This window comes from Homo sapiens, chromosome 6, assembly GCF_000001405.40.
Source record: "Homo sapiens chromosome 6, GRCh38.p14 Primary Assembly".
NCBI lineage: Eukaryota > Metazoa > Chordata > Mammalia > Primates > Hominidae > Homo > Homo sapiens.
In genome coordinates, this window is record NC_000006.12 from 69,941,426 (window position 1) to 69,962,678 (window position 21,253).

At 34.3% G+C, this 21,253-nt stretch overlaps 1 protein-coding gene across 8 annotated transcripts in view; it reads left to right on the top strand.

Annotated features, from left to right (window-relative positions):
* The window catches only part of COL19A1 (collagen type XIX alpha 1 chain), a 345,913-nt gene that overhangs the window by 74,870 nt on the left and 249,790 nt on the right, over positions 1-21,253 (top strand). For all 8 annotated transcript variants that reach the window (NM_001858.6, XM_047418188.1, XM_011535437.3 and 5 more), the window contains one exon: positions 18,571-18,615. In NM_001858.6, the coding sequence (NP_001849.2) occupies positions 18,571-18,615 (45 nt within the window). The remainder of the gene's footprint in view (positions 1-18,570; positions 18,616-21,253) is intronic.

Below are 21,253 nucleotides of genomic sequence, written 5' to 3' on the forward strand. Positions count from 1 at the left end.
TTTAGGTTGAGTTTAATTTCATTTGTGGCTTGATGAAGAACAAAGGAATCTTCATTTGTGAGATACTGCCTTAGAATTTTCAATTTATTAGATGTAAAAATGTTGAGTTATCATCACATGCTACTTGTGGTAAATAGTAATAATTGATCAATAGTTGATTTCTTCAAAAGATTACTCAATAAGTTGACTATTTCATTCAACTCTGTATCTTTTATTTCCAATATTATCTGTATCTGACCTTCTCTGGATACAATGTGCTAGTTGCTTTTTTTTTTTTTTTTTAGACAGAGACTTGCTCTGTCACCCAGGCTGGAGTGCAATGGTGCAATCCCTGTTCCCTGCAACATCCGCCTCCCGGGTTCAAGCGATTCTCCTGCCTCAGCCTCCTGAGTAGTTGAGATTACAGGCACCCGCCATCATGCCTGGCTAATTTTTGTATTTTTTGGTAGAGATGGGGTTTCACCATGTTGACCAGGCTGGTCTCGAACTCCTGACCTCAGGTCATCCACCCACCTCAGCCTCCCAAAGGGCTAGGATTACAGGTGTGAGCCACTGCTCTCAGCACAATGTGCTAGTTTTTCAAATATGTTCCTTGCATTGTTTTACTTAGATAATGTCGATTAGAAGCCATCCAGACACAATTATAACTTACTTTTTCTCATTAACTGTATAATATTAGTCTTTTGGTGCATTTTACTTTTGGCCCAATGTAATAAAGTGAGAAAAGATTTGAGAATACAACTTCCACATCTCTTTCAAATTATATGTCACTACATTACAGTATTTCTAAAGGTGTTAAGATTTTTATTAATATGTTAATTGACATAACAATTATACGTATTTATGGAGTAAAGTGTGATATTTTCATTCATTTATACAATCTGTACTAATCAAATTGGGATAATTAACATGTCCATCACCTCAAATATTCATTATTTCTTTGTATTGGGAACATTCAAGATTTTCTCTTTTAGCTATTTGAAAATATTCAATAAATTATTGTTAACCATAGTCACCCTACAGTGCTATTGAACAGAAGAGCTTATTTATTCTTTATAGCTGTAATTTTGTATCTGTTAACCAACTTCTCCCTATCCCCACTCCCACCCTTCCCAGCCCCAGTAACCATTATTCTACTCTCTACTTCTATGAGATTAACTTTTTAAACTTCTACATATAAAGGAGAACATGCAGTATTTATCCTTCTGTGCCTGGCTTATTTCACTTACAACAATGTCATTCTGACTCGTCCATGTTGCTGCAAATGATGGGATTTTACTCTTTTTTATGGCTTAATGTCATTCCATTGTGTGTATGTGTGTGTGTGTGTGTGTGTGTGTGTGTGTATAAAACATTTTCTTTATCCATTTATTAATTGATAGACACCCATTTTGATTCCATGTATTAGCGATTGTGAGTAGTGCTGTAATAAACACAGGCTTTCAGTTATCTTTTCACCATACTTATTTCCTTTCCTTTGGATACATATCCCCAGTGGGATTTCTGGATCACATGGTAGTTCCATTTTTAGTTTTTTGAGGCATTTCCATACTGTTCTCCATAATAGCTATACTAATTTACATTCCCACTAAAAGGGTGCAAAAGTTCCCCTTTCTCCACAACTTTGGTAGCATTTTTTTTGGTCATTTAGATAATAGCCATTCTAAACTAGGGTAAGATGATATCTCATTTTGATTCCAATTTGCTCCTCCCTCATGATTAATGTTGAGCATTTTTTGATGTATTTCTTGGCCATTTGTATGTCTTCTTTTGAGAAGTGTCTATTCAGATCATTCACCCATTTTAAAATCAGATTATTGGGGTTTTTGTTTGTTTGTTGCTGTTGAGTTGCTTGAGCTCCTTGTATATTGTGGATATTAATCCCTTGTCAGATGAATACCTTGCAAACGTTTACTCCCATTCTGCAGGTTGTCTCTTCATTCTCTTGATGGTTTCCTTTGCTGTACAAAAGCTTTTTATTGCAATATGGTCCCATTTGTCTATTTTTGCTTTGGTTGCCTGTGCTCTTGAGGTTGTAGCCACAAAATCTTTGCCTAGACTAATGTACCAAAGCATTTTCCATACATTTTCCCCCAGAAGATTCATAGTTTTGGGCTCTACATTTAAGTTTTCAATCCATTTTGGGTTGATTTTTGCATATGGTGAGAGATAAGGATCTAGTTTATTCTTTTGAATATAGTTTTTCCAACACTGTTTAACAAAAAGACTGTCCTTTCCTCAATGCACGTTCCTGGCACCTCTGTCAAAAATCAGTTGGTTGTAAATACATGGATTTATTTATGGGTTCTCTAGTGTGTTCCATTGGTCTGTGTGACTGTTGATGACAATCTAAGGTGTTATGCTTTGAGCATCCTTACTTTAATGCAGCAAATTCATAGAGAAAAATGTTACTCTTATTTATACACATACATTATGAGTTAGACAATTATTCCGAATAGTCATGTAAGCAAATCCTGTCCCACCTGAGCCAAAACCCACTAATGACTTCTTGTCTCTCTTAAGGTAAACCCCAAAGCTCTAACCATGGGCTATGAGGCTTCACATAATGTGTAGAGCTCTCCCCTACCTGACTCCTCAATCCCAGATTGTCTCGTACCCTCTTCCCTTGTTCACTTTTGCTCCAAGTCCTTTGTACCAGTTATGTATGCCTGAAGTGTCCTTGTCCACATCCACTTGGCTCGCTCTCTTCTTCACATCATTTAGGCCCTTGCTCAAAAATAACTTTAAAATAAAAAGGCCTTCTGGCATCTCTATATAAAAAGCATCCTTACTCCCACCTCTATCCTCTTACTTTGCTTAGCACTTTTACTGCCACCTGACACATTGTCATCACGCATCTATTTCTTTCCCTGTTGGAAAATGAGTTCTGTGAGCCTATACATAGAACAACACATAAATAATAGGAGCTAAAAATATGCTGAATGCATGAATGAACACTATACCTCAAGGAAAGTTTAAATAATCAACTCAGCTATTTCTAGAAACTGTAAGTTCTCCTTCCTAATTGCCCAGGAGACTCTGCTGAGCAAGGCAAAGATTCAATTTGCAAGGAAAGAATTAAATAATATTATATTGTTAACTATTGTTCTACTACAGTTTTTTCTTTTAAAAAACAAAAATTCTTTTCACATTGATTTAATCAGGTTTAGCTTAGTATTGTCTAGGTAATGAAGCATCAAAAATATTTTGCAAAAAGCCAGAAGTTTTGGCAAAACTTAATATGTATTTTTATTTGCCTATTTTCTTATCTACTATGATGGTTTATTAATATGATTTACTACTTTTTCTTTTTTTATAAAGGTGATGGTCACCTCTCATGGAATAATGCAGTTTTAAGTACTACTGCTTGTATTTAATTATCTAGTTGTGATCAGCATTCTATATCAGAACACCTAATCAAGCGATTTTAACCATGCTCTTTAACACTAAACTCTGTATAACATTATTTGAAGTAATAATTAATACTTTTCTTTCATTTAGACTCAATTGTAATAATTTTCTGAATTTTTTAATTCCCTTTTGTTAGCAAATGTAGTTAGCAACCTAATTCCTTAGCAACTGCATTACTTTCTCAGTTCTTTAAGACCCTTGTTAATACCCTCACCCATTTCAGAGCTGAAATTCTCTCAGAGTTTTATAAAATATTAGCTCAATTTTAATGTTCTTGAACCTGAGGGGAAGTGTTATCTGAGCTCCATTTTGGGAATAATTTTCCAGTTTATTTTTCTATTATTATCTTCCATATCTCCAGTTAATTTGCCAAAATGTGTTGACTTTATGAAATGATTGCTTTGCTGATATGCTTTGACAGAAAATCAAAACTGTTTAAAATGGAATAAGTTAGCTTATTTGACTTCTTAGTCAGAAACTGGTATTGATTTATTTCAACTTCTCCTGCCCTCCAATCCCACTATAGAGGTTTTCATTTTGAGTAGTCTAATATGCTAACCCAGAGATGATGAGTAAGTTTCCCCTCATTTTCTTTCCAATCTGACATTACTCATATGCCCATTCTGTAACCATACCACAACAATAAAAATTAATTAAACCAAAATACGTTCATAATTTTTAAAAATAAGGATACCTTCTCTTAGTAATAACTTTACAGAAGTAGGATTTAATATTATTCTTTTGACTTCTTTTAATATGTCAATATAAGAAATAATAATGTTTCTTTATCCTTTCTAATCCCATATTGAATATATTGAAGTAATTGACAAGTCCTTTTTTTGGATCAGTTTTACCCAATTTGATATAATCTCATGTAATCTACAGGAATTCACTTGAAGGTGAAATTTACTTGTGGGTCTTCATCTGAAATTAACAGATAGTATCATTATAATAATGGTATTACATATTCATAAAATTACAATATATTTCTTAATTTCTACCAAGTGTTAGTGACAGAGAAACTCATTCAAAAAGTGTATATTATTTTCCACTGTTTCGAGGATAAATTTATTAGACTGAATTTGTGATAGTGCTTTTAAGGAAGCCATAGATGATCCATAGACTTCCTTGCACCTGTTTTTCCATCCCTGCTTGGCAGTTAGACAGAAGAGCAAGGAAGCTGATCATTGGATTGACCCAGCTTTGGGGTTTTTCCTGGAGGATGTAAAGGAAAGTCAGGCATACTAAATGAAACAAATAGGAATATCTTAGAATCTGAAATTTCCTGACCTACTTGAATTGAAAGCATCGGATAGGATGTAGCTTTTAACTCATTTAAACTCATTTATCATATTAATTGAAGTAACAGCAATAGTATTATTCCTTACATTTGGTAAATGTACTTTTGGTAAATATTAAATCCTACTTCTGTGAGGTTATTACTAAGAGAATGTATCCTTATTTTTAAAAATTATGAACATATTTTGGTTTAACTAATTTTTATTGTTGTGGTATGGCTACAGAATGGGCATATGAGTAATGTCAGATTGGAAAGAAAATGAGGGGAAACTTACCCATCATATCTGGATTAGCATATTAGACTACTCAAAATTTGGTAAATTACAAAGCTGAATTACATATTTCTGTGTGAATATGTCTAGTTTTAGTTATGATTAGCACTTAGATATTTACGAATTACTGATTTTTTACAATTTATTATTTTGGCTTGTGGGCAATATGAGGAAGGAACTTGAAGCACAAACTTTGGTGCAAGCAAAAGCAACTCATCTAGGAAGAGGTAGATTCACTTTGACAACATTAGTAATTAACGCACCCCTTAAAAGTAATCTCCTAATAAGCATTTCTGTATTTTAGGGTGCAGTTGGTAATAAAGGTGAATTTGGTGCTCCTGGAATTCCTGGGGAAAAGATATGATGGTTTACTCTTTGATCAAAATTTATGGTTATTTTATAAAGCTGTATCAGATAGGATAGGAAAATATACAGAACAAGTCCTATAGTTTAGAGGTAATCAAACTGTGGCCCTATAGTAGGGCTGCCAGAAACTCTCACTGTAGGATTTTGTACATAAAGTTTTACTGGAACACAGCCACACTCATTTGTTTTTGTATTACCTAAGGCTGCCTTTGTGCTTCATGGCCAAGTTAAGTAATTGTGGCAGAGACTGTATGGCCCACAAAATCTAAAATATTTACTCTCTGGCCCTTTGTTGAAAAAGCTTGCTGATCCCTGCTCCGGAACATTGGCTGCTATTCTTTTAGCCCCAGGGCTTCTCAAATTCACCATTTTATATATAATATGGTGTCTTAATATGTATTTCACTGCAGACAAAAATTAGGCAGTTTATGTAAACATTTTATAATATAGACTATAAGACATACTATAATTAAAAATATAAGAAATATATTTCAGTGTATCAATAAAATGCTATACTGTAGGCTATAGCTCATAAAATGATTGATTTTTATGTTTTTCCTGTAATACCACAAAGATGATTCCAAACAATAAATTCACTCACGAGAAGTTACTGTTGCAGTTTAGCATCTTATTCAACTTCAGTTTTTGTAGAATATTTAAAAAATTGTTGTATTTGTATATTAAACTGCAATCACCTTGTCGTATTTTTCCCTATATATGCCTATATTAATATTAATAACTTTGCTAAATTTTTAAAGTTCTCATATGTTGATGCTAAGAAAATTCTCTTCTTTATGAAAATATGCTTAGTATAAGTTTTTGTGGCATTCTAGCTGCACTGATTATCAAGTGAGTCCATTGTGTCATTATCTAGAAGGCCATGACCATTGTGGTTTTATTCACCTAAAGTTAGCACAGCAATAACTGAAGCTGAAGCAGTAGGAGGTTCAGAGGTTTTCAGACAGATATTTTTTCAGACCTTCATAAATGTGTCTCTGGTATCTGATGGCTTCATTGATGCTACTTTTTCCTTTCATAAATTATTCAGTCTGATATGCAAATTCTTTACTCCTATAGGAATGTAACTGTTAAACTCAGTAAAGTCCAACAAACTCTATTGAAAAACAATACCTTGCTGCAAGTTGATGTTTATTTGGGCTGCTATCTTCTTGTATAAGCTTACTGATGACATTAATTGACGATTCTTCATCATAAATAAAAGCTTCTTTAAATACTTGTTCAAAGTTCTAATTCTTTAAAAATATCTTTTCTCTAGAGAATATTACTTGATCACCTAAAGAGATGCCCCAATCTAAATTTACCTTGTACCCTTATTCTACCAATCTTTTTCTAAAATGCATCACAATAATCTGATTGTTTAGATTTCAGATCATTAGGAGTTTTTGAATTATTCTGAACATGGGAATCTTTTTTAAAACATTTGCAGAATCACCGAAGCGCTTGAGCTATAAAATAGATTGTTTGACTTTATTGTGGGATGTAACGTGAGACTTACGTACATTTACACAATAAATTATGGCATAGCAGGATAGAATTCCCTTTGAATGCTTTAAAACAGAATTTATCAAGGTTGGTATAAAATAGCATTAATTTTAACACTCCAAAATGACAGCCCTTGGATCCTTATGTATGACAACCAGGTGCAAACTGCTACTTATTGGTTGTGGAACAGGTTCTCAACTCCTGAAAAGGTGATGTCCACAGACTGACAATATAAGGACTAGATGAAGCATTCAGTAGAATCAATCCTGTCAAAAGCTGATCAAATGAATTGCCATCCAGGGCCATGATAGTAAGAAAACAAGTCTAGAAAGTTAAGTATGCAAGCCAAGAAATTCTCTAGAAGAAGAGAGAGTTTCTTAGAAAAGAGAGGGCATTTAGGGCAACGTGAAGGAACTGGAGCAAGTCAGTATTTCAGAGACAGGCACTACTCAGAACTAAAAATTTTGTTTCTTTTCCCAGAAGTCCACTTTTGTAGAAAGAATCTTGTGTGGTGATTCATCCTATATTTCACTTAAAGTAAAACTTCAGTGAATATAAAGGAAAATACTGATAATCTAGTTAGATGAAGTCATTCTGAAAACCAAAATCCTCAGCCCTTGGTGCCCATTTGGTCAAAATGGTGACTGAGAGAGTCTTGCAAAATCAGTTAATGAGTGTGTCTGTGTGAAGACACTGTTCCCAGAGAACTTAAGAAGCTAATATCATAAAGAAGCAGCTGTTTTTATGGTGTTCTAAAACCATGGCAAAATTGTCCTGGCAAATACTCTTTCATGTTTCCTCAAGCAGTTTTCTTCTGGGTCTAATTTACTTGAGTTACTCTTAAAGGGTCTCACAGACAGTTAGAGAATTCATGTAACTTCCAGTGGTGCTAAATATGGTAACAGATTACGTTTAACTCTTGGTTCCCGGATTCACACATCATCAGAGACCGTACTTAGTGGTTAATATCCTTCCAATACCTATAGAAGCACTGAGTCTTTGACCACTTTCTCTTCCCAAGGACTCAGTCCCTGGTGGTGCCAGCTATGATTCTAACTTGTCACTTCATTTAGCTGTTAAAGGGGTGTGACACTCTTGAGTGAAAAAATGCCGCCTCAATAGTGTTTTCTCGCTTCTATAATCCACAGGTTACCACTTATTGAAAATAATTCTAAAGAATGTATACAAAATGAAAACAAGAAAGTTACTAGCGTATTATCTAACAGTAGGTTAATAAATTGTAAAATTTTTTTTAAATTTCAAAATTTTAAAATCATCCTCATGAGGTTTATGTTTGGGGTGAAATATTTCTGTTATTTTACAAGAAAAATGGTTTGTTAGATTTTTCTAAGTAAATTTCCAGAGAAAAATTATCAGTTCTTAACATGTGTGTCACCTCAGGGCTTTGTATCCCACATTTGCTTCAACGTGAAATATGTGCATCTTCCAGAGTAACTTATCCAGCATCCCCTTAACTTTGACTCTGCTTGTCAGCAGTTATAATTCTTTGTTTTGTTTTGCTTTGCTTTACATAGAATCAGGAGTACTTAAGAGTACTGTTAAAAAATAAATAACTAGGTTGAATTGTTTAACTGTTTCACTTGGAGCAAAAACATATGTACAATACCATAGAATATGTATCTCAGGTCTAATATTCTCAAAGTGAAGATTTTTTTCTAAAGTTAACATTTAAGCTAGGAAACTGATTTATATTAATGGAGTGAAGCATATTCTGAGCAGTATGAAGTATTAATTTGTACATTAACTATACTTTACACTTACATCAATGTCATACTTCAATAAATTAAGTGATTTGCATATAAATCACATTATTCTAAAATAAACCTACACTTTGAAATTTAGCTAGGTAATAGCAGTAAATTCTTTTAAGTCAAGACTCTGAACAATGTATTAATATACTGTGGTGGCATTTTTCCTCTGACACCAAGGATAAAAATAGTACACTAAACAACACAATTTTATAAAATGTATTTATGGAATGTGGAGTCATGAGGACTCTAATAAGGATGAAGTATAGCATTTAGTTATGTTCTTTTGTAATTGTAATACTTATCACCCAGTACAGACTTGCAGTAGACATTCTTAATCTAATATTAGTTCTAATCTAATAAAGCCTTACTGTTAAACATTGCATAAAAATAACTGTCCCCTTTACATTTATTCAGAACAGCTATGATTTTGCCTAAGAGATTCGGTAAGTGTTCTGTTATGAGTTCATTTAAGAAAATCAGTTCTGTGTAGCAGTATTATTAGGTAGCTGGCGACTTCTGGTAAGCTTGGATGGACAGAAGGCTCTGTCAATCAAAATAAGTAAACTGGATGGTTCCATTTCCAAGAGAAGTGAATGACTCAAAGCATGAGATCACATGAATGCAGCCACACACACACACACACACACACACACACACACACACACACATGTTCACACCTTGCATCCTCATGGTATGAAGTAGGAAAATGAGATGAGGATTTGGACACTATGAGCAAATTTTGCCCACTTTGCCCCCAAATATAACACTCAAATCATGTTTGTTTTCATTACCTGAATACTTCAAACAAAAAAGTGCCTCATTTCATACTTCACTTATGTATTTAAACATAAAAGATATATTTCTCTAGAAGTGGGGATTTTTTTCTAAGTAGGAATAATTATTGTCCAATAATCTTATCCTAATAATGTGATAGTAAAAATTGAACAAATATAGAGCCTAATTTATGCTAAAACCCATATTCTATCTACTAAATTACTTTAAATTTGCCCTAAAATGTTTATTTTAATAGGAAAACTTTTACTAAGTTAATTTTGCTCCCCATGGAGTAAGTATGAAGTAAATCATAGCCATCATTACTTTACTATGCTAATATTAAATACTCAGAGTTAGACTGCCTGGGTTTGAATTCCAGCTCAAAATCTTACTCTCTAATTTAGAGCATGACACTTGGTCTCTCTAAATGTCAGTTTTCTCTTTTATAAAACAGGAATTATATTGCATCTACTTCTAGCTTTATCTTAAGGATTAAATAAGATTATTCATAAAAGTGTCAGCACCTGGTATGTAAATATTTGGTAAACAACAGATATAATTTTAACAATAAACAGTTTGATGATTCTATTATTCTAGCCTTACTGTGGGACCAGATTAGAACTTATTTGAAGGAATGTATACACTTCATCTTAGCCAAAAGGCCAAGAAGCAAACACTTGGGGGAATTTATATTAGTTATTGAAAATATATTTACAGGAAAATGTTAAAGTCACATATCTTATGTAACCTTGACCTCTTAAAACAAACTAGATGTCAGAAAACCAGTGAATTCCTCACTTATTATAAATATGTACAAGAATATAAACTTTTACAATAATAATAATAACAGCCATTTACTCAAAAAGTGTTATATGCTAAATGCTATCAGGAGCCTTCTTCACATTATTTCATTCACTCCTTACAACACCCCTGTGAGGTAAGATTTATTGTCACTATTTCACAGATTAGGAAACAGATCTAGAGAGAGAGAGGGAAAAAAAATTAAAAACTTCCCCTAACTTGGTACGGAGAAAATAGTAGAGTCAGGATTTGAACCTCTATCCATGGAAATCCATAGCTCTTGCCCCTTTGCCATATTACCTCATCTGGACAGCTCCTCAAATATTCAGATTTCATTTACACAGGCAGGTCTGAATTAGATCTTAAATTTGTTTGCCTGCCAGTTTAGTGAGTGAACTGCAGTTTGCTTCGGACATCCTGCTCCAAGGAGGGCTGTGTCCCTTCCCTTTAAATCCAAGGACCCCTTTTAAACTGTATCTGACCCTAGGGATTCTGACTCCCCCACCTTCATAAGATTGTGTTCACCTATTAAGAATCATTATGCATATGGTTTTTCACCAAATGAGAGGGTTTTGTCTAGCTTTACCTTCCAAAATAAGTATCATGGAAAAAAATTTGCTTGGTTTCCAAGTACAGGTTACATTTGAAGTGTGTTTTCAAACATTCCGCGCTTGACTCTCTGGAGATTCTTAATCTACCCTGCATGCCCACGTCCAGGCAGCTCAATCATGGGCACTCTCCAGATTAACCTTAATGCAACACCTAATGTAGAAATTTTTCTCTTACATTCTCCACCAAATAAATATATATAATTTATTTATCAAAAACAAAATTGTTTAACTTAGTACCATGGCTTTATAAAAATATAAAATAAATCAACCTTCTGGAAGTAAAAAAAGCTGTATATATTAAAGCACTTAAGAAGTACATCTGATAACATGATGAGAGAGTGGCCAAGCTGCATGTCTTAAAAATAGCTGGACTAACTATCATCATTATATGAGGATATGCTTTGTATGATGGGTCTTTTCACCATAAACTCTGAAGCCCTCAGCACTGCAGTGAGATGAGACTGAATGAGGCAGATCCATTGTTCCCTAACAGTCTTTGTATTTCTTTTCTGCTGGAAAATGAAATGACTATGATCTTTGAATCTTGATTTTCCCTAAAAAGACATTTTATGAGAAGACTGCAGCTTCAGAAAATAAAGGCAGATGCTGTTACAGTTTATGTAAGTGCAGACAAGGCCAATCACTGTTGTGAATTATAATGAACTTTCTAACAGTGCTGGTCCAGATGTAGCATTAATGCTTCAGAGACTCAGAAACTTATAGGCAAGTAGTATAAAAGCTAGAGAATTTTAAGCCATTTGGCTTCCTCTCTATATTTCTAGCCTCACCTAATTTTTCTGTGCTTAATTTTAGACTTCCTAAGTTTAAAACATAATTTAAAATGCCTAATGCATGTGACAATTTATTATAGAAATTGAGGCCATTAAATGAGGAGGAAAAAAAAAGACAACTTAGCTTTATTCTATCAATGGAATACTTCCTGCCTATGAAATTGTTAGGCTTTATAAAACAAGAATGTTTTCCACTTTAGAGAAAAATACCTCTTAAGCAGAGAATCACCTGTATATCTGTGTAATTTAGAAAATTCTCTAATGAGTGAAGGTATAGTCAAATCTACACACAGGATTGAATTTTTAATCATAATTAGTATTCATAGAAAAAAATGACCACAAAGAAAACAGTTTTGTAAGCCTACTTGTTGGCTTTACTTGTTAAAGGTAGGAGAATAAAACTTGAATTATCAGTGAAAAACTATTGCTCTTACATGGAATAACTGTCATTTAATTGTCTTATCTATAGACATATATTGATACAATATAGCACTAAAATAAGCAGAAACATAAGAAGGACAAAGTAATAGAAGGACAGGAAAAAGAAAAAGAAACTTGCTCACTCTGCAGCTGATTTTATTTCTTAATGGTTTCTTATTCCCTTCTAATGCCTTCCACTCACACCCCAAGTAGAGCAGTTGGCAGGGAACACAACAGATGGATGACAAGCTCACCACATGCCATGTATCTGGCACCCAGGCACTTGACTTTTATTTGCTAAACAGTCAGATTTCAAGAACCTAGTCTGCTAATGTTCCTGTTTGGTTTAATGTACTACCAGCTTCTAGCACGTAAATATTAAAATATTGCCATAAGAAAGCTCACACACTCTGTGTTTCTCTGCATAGTTAAGTGGCTAATTATTTTATTCTTGGTGTAGATACTGAACAGTGGATTTAAACATATAACTGGTATTTTATAAAGACATCTATGATTTTAGATATTAGAGTTTCCTTAAAGTGGCTCTATCTAAAGGAGCTTTTAGCCAGACACATCAGGGACTGCCAAAGCCGGTGTAAGGTATTGAATGAACCTGTTAGGGAAGACTAGAAGATTTGAGCAGATGATCACAGATGATTGGTATCTTTCTTTTCTATCTCCATCACTGCATTTTCAGATTATTAAACTCAAAACACATGCATTTTTTTCATGAATTCTCCCAGGCCACCAGGCAAAATTACAGCTTATCCACTCAGCTCACATAGCACTTTATTTATATCACCAATGTAGAGTGTGTCTATACACCCTGCTAAAATGTGAGCTCCTGGAGTAGAAGGACTTGGGGTCTGTCTCATCTCTAATCCCAGCAACTGACCCAGCGTATGGTACCTGGCTGGTTCTGGATAAGTGTTTGTTGAGTTGTTCAGAATTCGAGGACTTAGCCCCAAGCCAGAAATAGAGAAGAGAAATAGAGAATGACTGTTAGAAAACTTCGCTGAGGAAAGATCGGAAAAGCACCCCAATGCCAGCAACACTTCAGTGAAAGTCCTTCGTACTTTCTACAGAAGCATAATTTAGGGAAACAAGGGAATCTCTTCTTTGCACAACAAAGTTTACAGGTATTGCTTCCTAGAATTAAATATAATAGAAGTGTGTGCATCTCCAGAATTTGCTTTCCATTTTCTCTTGGAGAAAGTATGCTCTTCCCTCTCTCTCAAACACAAATATTCAAGTTATATTGCTTTCTTTTTATCCAAACTAGATTTGAAAATCTCCTAACTTTCTTACAACATTGTTAGGGTGTGTTCCTTCTCCATATCTTCATAACCATTTACTTCAGGGCTAAAGATAAGTAACCAATGGCTTCAGTACATTTAAGGTCCAGTAGAAGTAATTGATATGGAATAGAACTATAAATTACTCATCACGAGGAATACTCCAGGCAGGAAATAGTTTTCAGTTACTGCTATATCATTGTCCTCAATTAGGAGCTGACTGATGACACTGTCCTTCTCTTTATATCTTAAATCATCTTTCACTTGTTAGAATTCTGTATTCAGATGTCAATCACTATACTTCAGATATTTCAGTAGATGATTCACATTAAATAAGTATTTCTGTAGTATTTTTATGAAGTTTTAAGTTTGGTTTAAAGACTCTCTTACAGTTAGTCTCATAATAAAGTGAAAAGCCCAAACATTTGTGCCTGACACTTTCAGGAAATCATCACAGTTACATAGGAGCCCAGATTTTGTAGTGGGTTCTACAACATTGACTAAGGCTTAATTCTCTAGCTTTGCTATGTGTAGGAAGAAACTTTTACCTCTCCAAGACATTTCAAAATTACTTGGGTTTTCTTTTTGTTTTTTTATTTGAATAACTCTTAGTACAACTTGTATTTAATTAATTTGAAAAAGGATTGTAAAATAACATCCCTTTGACAGGAAAACTTAAGGATTGTAGTTGACTACAAATGTAGCATATGTAAACAATTTAGTTTTAAAAAGAAGCACGTTGTATTAATAGAAGTACAAAACTGTATAGTAGCCACAGCAAAGTGTGTGTGTGTGTGTGTGTGTGTGTGTGTGTGTGTGTGTGTGTAAGAGAGAGAAAGAGAGAGAGAGAGATGGTCCTGTTCTGTATTCTATGTGAGTAAGACCATTTCTGGAATGATGTGCTGAGTTCTGAGAGCCACATTTTAAAAGACATGACTGACCCGTGTGTGCCCAGAGAACAGGGACCATAGTATTAAGAGACTCCAAACTATCATTTGAAAAATGAGTGGTTTACTGAATAGAAGGCTTGATAGTGGCACAAAGGGATGTCATGTATAAGACCTATAACTTTTTTTCTGTGTAATTGCAGACAGAAGAAATAAGACTGATGGGCAAAATATGGGGAAGGTTAATTTGGGTTCAGAAAGCATTTATTCAGTAACCACACAGTGAATTTTTTTTCTTTGCTCTCCACAATGCAAATTAAGCAGCAAAAGTATTTGACTTTAAGAAGCTTTCAATAGAGTTGGTGCCTCATCAGATTCTTTGGTGGAGTTGTTATACATAAATGCATGAATTTATATTTGTCCTTAAATTTAAGAATGCCCATCCTGCTTGTTTTCTAGGCACATGCACCTGTATATACATACATACACACATATACATATACACTCAGGATAATAGATTTTAAGAGAGTAGATGTTGTTAGCTACCACTAACCACCCATACATACATTACCATGATCAAGACATGTATTGACCCATAAGAATAAATAATAATAGGATCTAATTCATTTAAGATTAAAGTTTCAAATTGGCCTTATCCTGAGCATTAATGTGATTAAAATATCCCTATGCATTAGCCGCATTAAGGATCCAAAAAATATAAAGAATTCAAAAAGTTTGAGATTTTAAATTCTTTGCTATATATATATTTTTAACTTGGTAATTTATTTCTTAGAATGAAGTCCCAAAATATAGAAGGAAAAAATTCTCCCCTTGAAATAAAAGCATTCAGATTGGATATCTGAAAAAAATTTAAAAATATAGGTTTTTAAAAATTTCCTGAAACGTTTAATGGACTGCCAACAGTTTAAGAACCATAAAATATTTCAATTTCTAAAGATTATGGCTGAATAAAGCAGGACTATAGTCAGTAATGTAGAGGTCACCTTAGTAATACACAAAATCAAAATCAGATTTACTTTTTTCTGCCTATTTTATTGGTTTTAGTCCTAGAATCCTGGCATTCCACTTCTGATATTTCTTCTAGTTATTTCATGCAATATTCAACTTAAGTAAATTTTCTTTTAATAAATATGAACTAATGAATGGGGAAGTATGATATATTTCAAGTGGACACTAAATTTATATAGAAGGTTATACTCCTAGAAAAATATGCTCTAAGTAAAATGATAGGTCAATTTTTTCAGTACAGAAATGTTATAATAGGATCTCGGACATTTTAATCAAAGGCTGAATGTCTAACTGTTAAAAAAAATCACCACAGGATAGTATGTAACTTTCTACTTTCTGGATCAAATGCTGGTTATTTGCAATTTTTTTGTTTCCCTGCTTGCTTTATCTTTATTTGCTTGGTCTCATTTATACTGGGTTTGCAAACTATAGCCCTAGGGAATGTGATTTTTTTTATCAAATGTCCTTCAGACAATATATGTTTCCTGCACAATAAGAAATACATTACTTCCAATGTCAAAAGAATCAAGAAAACTAATAATTTATAGTTTATGACCAGCTATGCTTACTGTTGAAAAATATGCAGTGATTACAAGGACGTAAAATTAAATCCAGTGATCAGTTTTTCAGAAAGCAACCAGCTGACCCTAAACATCACCTAACTTTGTCCCAAAAACTTCTCAAAGAGGTTATTTTGAATTTTGGAAAGGGTACTTTTTGATTGTCCTGTGAAGTTAAAGACATGCTATGTGTTATAGTAATAACCCAGGCAACGATACTATCGGCAGCAACATTAGATTTTGCCTGCTTTATATTACACATATTTATTAACTTATCTTCCTGTAGTTTGAATTTGTACCTGAAAAGGAATACAAGTCCTTTCATAGAAAACCCCGTAATGAAAAAAAAACCCTCAGAAATAAGTTTTGAAAGTTATGGTTTCTATGGGAATCATTTATTGTGATTTTCTTTCAATAATGAACTAAAGTATTGATTGGAAGCCAAAGAAGAAGCATCTTATTTCTTCTTGGACTGAAATTTTGAGGAAGGAGAGGCAGCAGGAGTTCAGAAAAGAAAACTAATGTGTACCTTCCAGTAATTTTAGGAGGATATTTATTTTATGAATAGAATTAAATTTGCCCTCAAAGTGCTTGTGGCACCTAGAACTATAAACCTGGGTGTCAGAGGGAGCATAAAGAAAGACTTCTTCTGTTGACATAAGGTAGGTTTTAGATAAACACATTTCCTATGAGATAATCAGTGATGTCCACTGAGTTATCGTTGAGTCTAGAATTATGTTTATAAAACACATTCAGTCAAGAAAGAGCAGAGACCATTTAATGCTGGCCACAGGAAAACACAGTGTTTTAATTACAACAATCATAAAACCTGTGTCCATTAAAGACATATTCTCAATATCACAGCTCTAGAGAGTTTTGGTACCCAATTAACAGTGCATCTGGGTGTAATCCTAACCTGACATATGGCAGGCTAGGACTTTGGGTGCCAGTACCCAGAGCACCTGGTGCATGAGTGGGCTGTGAGCAAAGAAAAAGGGGAGATACTATCACAACCTTTTTTCCCAAAAAAGTATTTTTGGCAGTGTATACCGTATTGGCGTACTTTAATGGATAATATGCCATATCTCATGATCGTATGTAACTAGTAATATGATATAAAACATTATACTGGATCAACTGATGAAAATAATCTGCTCCTTATGGACAAGTGGACATACTTCTGTGATGAGTAACAGGAGCTCCATTTCCATAGACTGTTTCCTGGCACCAAATACTTAATGTGTTTTCACTATCACTTTATCAAATGATATTGGAAGTTTCTAATAGATTTGTGTGATGCCTGAGGTCTAAAACTATAACAATTTGTTTAATGATAGAAATGTATTTATTATATAGATAAGTAGATTATATTTTGTTGATTCTGTAACATTTAATTACATTTAGCAGCAAAGTTTTACTTTAGTGTTTAGTATATACTGTGATGATAGCTGTTTTACCGTAGAATACTTTGATAATTTAATCTAATCTAAGAAAAACCTCAATCTTTAAAATAATATGTGTGCATGTATGTAGCAGACATCTCTGGTAAGAACCACTAAAACTGTCCTTAAAATGTTTTAATTAATGAAATAATGAAAAATTTCCTTAGATTTAGACAGAATATTGCTATTTTAAAGTTTAAAGATGTGACTTTTTTCTTCATAGATTTTGAATTTTGCTTAAATAATTCAAATAAATGATAGCTAATTGCTTTCTAGGGAATGTTTAAAAACTGTTATCTTATAAATTAATTGTAAATATTTGATAGAAATAAAGCAGTTCCATGAAATTGTTAGCGTATTTTGAGCTGTCTAAACCTGGAAACTCAGAAGCCAAAGTAAATTCCTATAAGCAGGAAAATTCCTAAAACTCTATTGAGAATATGCACATCCTCTCAAGAGTATCTCATTCTAGCCTGTGTGCTGTTTACAAACCAGACTTGTCAAAGAGATGACCCCAGAATTCCAGCAATGGAAACTAAAAGCCATCTGTCTTTTTACCCAAGACAGAAACCAGATGAACAGGAAGAACTAAAAAGTCTTCCAAGTAATTGCTTTATATTAAATGGCATTGGGTATGTATTCAAAATTGATCTAATGGCAATCACCAGATATGGGTAATAAAGTAAACATGCTTGTACATATATAAGAATACACACACACACACACATATATATAATATATATAGTGAGAAAAAATTCCGATTTTAGGCAAGAAGTCACTTAAAGCCAGAATTAAATCTTTTTCCAAAGACAGTGTAGGAAGGCAGCTAGGTATGCAGAGTTGAAGTGTTTGGGCTCAAATTCCAAGTCTACCACCTATTACTGTGCAATGACCTGTAAGAAGTTCATTGAGGCAGTATTATCTGCCTGATAGTTTTGTTGTCAAAACAGCAGTGCCTGGCCCATAGAAAGCACGATGTCAGACTTCAATATTATTCCCAGAAGTTTCAAAGAGAGAAAATGAAATGAGATACTAAATAACATGTGGAAAAACATAGGCTGTAGGAGACCTCAGTCCCAATCAGGTAAGTTACTAGTTAGGTGACCTTTGACATGTTACCAAACCTCTCGGAGCCTCCATTTCCCTATTTTAAAAATTGAGGTGACAGTCCTGGATTTGAGAAATAAGGAACAGATGGAAAGTCCCTATGCATGATAGATATTCAGTATTAGGCTACCTTTCCCCACAACACTAGAGCTATTTGTTAAAGACCACAAAAACGTCTATGTTCATATATCTTTATGGATCATAAACATTATTCTGTGTACTTCTTTTAGGGTGAAAATGGTTTACATGGTGCTCCAGGATTCCCTGGTCAAAAGGTAAAGAGTTCTTGAATGTTTCATCTGAGTTAAGAATTTTAACGTGTTAAAAATAAATTTGCACATAATATTCTGAAATTGTATTTGATTAAGCTGAATTCACTCAAAGACTTTTAGAAAGCTATGGATGTCTTTTCAAAGAGAACTTGTGGAAGCAATCCCCTCTTGAAGGGACCATTCTAGGAGGAAGCTTTATCACAGAGCTTTAGTAACATGCTCCTCCAAAGAACTAAATGGTAGTAGTGCTTTCTGGGGTCCGTGATAGCTGCTCTGGAAACGTTTCTGCTTTTATTAGTCAGAGTCTAAAATGTAAAATAGAACAAACTGTACTCCCTTTGACTAGTTTTGTTACCTCTTGCTTATCTTCTTTTTTGTATATCCCAGATAGAGCTAAACATAATAGTTAGAATGACATAAAATATTATATATTACAAAGATGCTGTAGACAACTACCTCTTCAAAAATATTTTTCTTTCAGAACAAGGGATTCCTAATAAGCAAGGAGTTTTGCATGGGCCAGGCTGCCTCTTCCTGTGCCTAGTATCTTTCTCTTTAACAAGATGAACTTCCTTTGTGCCCCCACTTTTTTTTTTTTTTTTTTTTTTTTGAGACGGAGTCTCGCTCTGTCTCCCAGGCTGGAGTGCAGTGGCGCGATCTTGGCTCACTGCAAGCTCTGCCTCCGTTCACGCCATTCTCCTGCCTCAGCCTCCCGAGGAGCTGGGACTACAGGTGCCCGCCACCACAGCCGGCTAATTTTTTTTTGTATTTTTTTAGTAGAGATGGGGTTTCACCATGTTAGCCAGGATGGTCTCGATCTCCTGACCTCGTGATCCACCCGCCTCGGCCTCCCAAAGTGCTGGGATTACAGGCGTGAGCCACCACACCCGGCCAGGGCTGCTTTCTTCTTCTGGGAAGAAGCATGGTTATCTGTGACAAGCATTACTAAAAACACAGAGACCATTATATTCCAGTTTCTTGGAGGGACGGGGAGCCACTTCAGGTGGGGCCAGCTGTCATGATACCATCCAGATAATCCCGCCGCAGGAGAGAGCATTATTGATGTAATATTAGATGCCCACCAAAGCCAAGCATATCATTTCTGTGCTCTGGAGATGTTTTACTGGTTTTGGCAACAACATGTCAGAAGTTACTATGCATGTAGGTTTTTCTCTATAGCTGAAAATATCTTTTAAAAAGATATGCACTTATTTATAGTTACAGATTGTGTTAAAGAATTTATTTACTTGGCCCAATAAAGATAATAAGATTGAACTGGCAGCAATGAAACGGCAAGCTTCTGAATTTCTTCACAGCAGCTCTAGACAAAACCCATTAATACAGCATGTACTGCATCTGCGAGTCAAGTTGCAAGCCAAGGGATGTGCAGATTTATCTGCTGGGAAATAGTTTTGGACTTTCCAGCAGCTGTTTGTGGTGGCTGCATCATGCTGACATTGTGGCTGATGTACTGGAGGCGTTTAGCAGCTTCAATGTCAGCTTGAATTAACAGATCAAGTTAAAGTCTATATTTTAGGAAAAATGGTAGAAAAAAATATAGACCATGCATTCAGTGGTGAAAAACAATACCTAACAACTGACATATATTCTTTCCTGGTAACTTTTAGAGGGTAGATGAAGCAAAAATAATTATTTAATTACATGCATGTAACACACACACATATATTATTTAATCATCTAATTATATTATCTAATTATGTATACTATTTAATTATATAATCATAAACATATATGCAATTATGTGGGTATATATATATAAAAAACATACTCACAAACTAAATATGTATGTATACATGCATGCATGTTTCTATATAGTTAAAAGCTGGCATTCCCTTTCATATAATTAGTATAAATTTTATGTACCAAGGGTCACCTTGTTGAGGCATTACAGAAAAAATTCTAGAGATCAGAAACCCTCTATCTCCTGTCTCTGTGCACTCAGGAAATGCTTGCTGAATGCTTCTTATGCTCCAGGCCCTCCATGGGTGGAGAGATGCACATGACCTGTTCCCAACATTCACTTGCTAGCTATGTTGTCATGAGTGCCTGACATGTAGGAGGCACTCAGTCAACTTTTGTTGAGTGTATGAATGAAACACCAGTTAAGGGGGGAGATAAGCTTGTCAGATCAGAGAGGGTGTAGATGAAGAAAGGGAGATGTACACCTTTTAGTATAATCATGGTGATTGAGAGCCAGCAGCCCTCCAACCACCAATCTTCTTTCTGTGACTGAGCCAGCATAGTGGACAAGAAGAAGCATAGCACTGGTGTCGAAGGTAGAGCCAGAACCCAAGGGTTCAAACCTGAACTCATTCATCATAAGACACTTACCAGAATGGTATGCCATAGAAGTCAGCTTTCTAAGAAGGCTGTTTCCACTGAATCTAGTAAAATAAATAGTAATTATAAGAAGAATGGCTAACTTAGTCTTTGCCATGAACTATGAGGATGAATCAAACTCTCAAAACAAACCATTGAGGAAGATAGTATTATCATACTTATTTTATACCTGAGAAAATTCAGGCTTATCAAGATTAAATTGCCTTGGAAGTGGTGAAGCTGTAACTTATACCCTAGAAAATTGTTCCTTTAGTATTTAGAAATATTTAAATCTTATGTA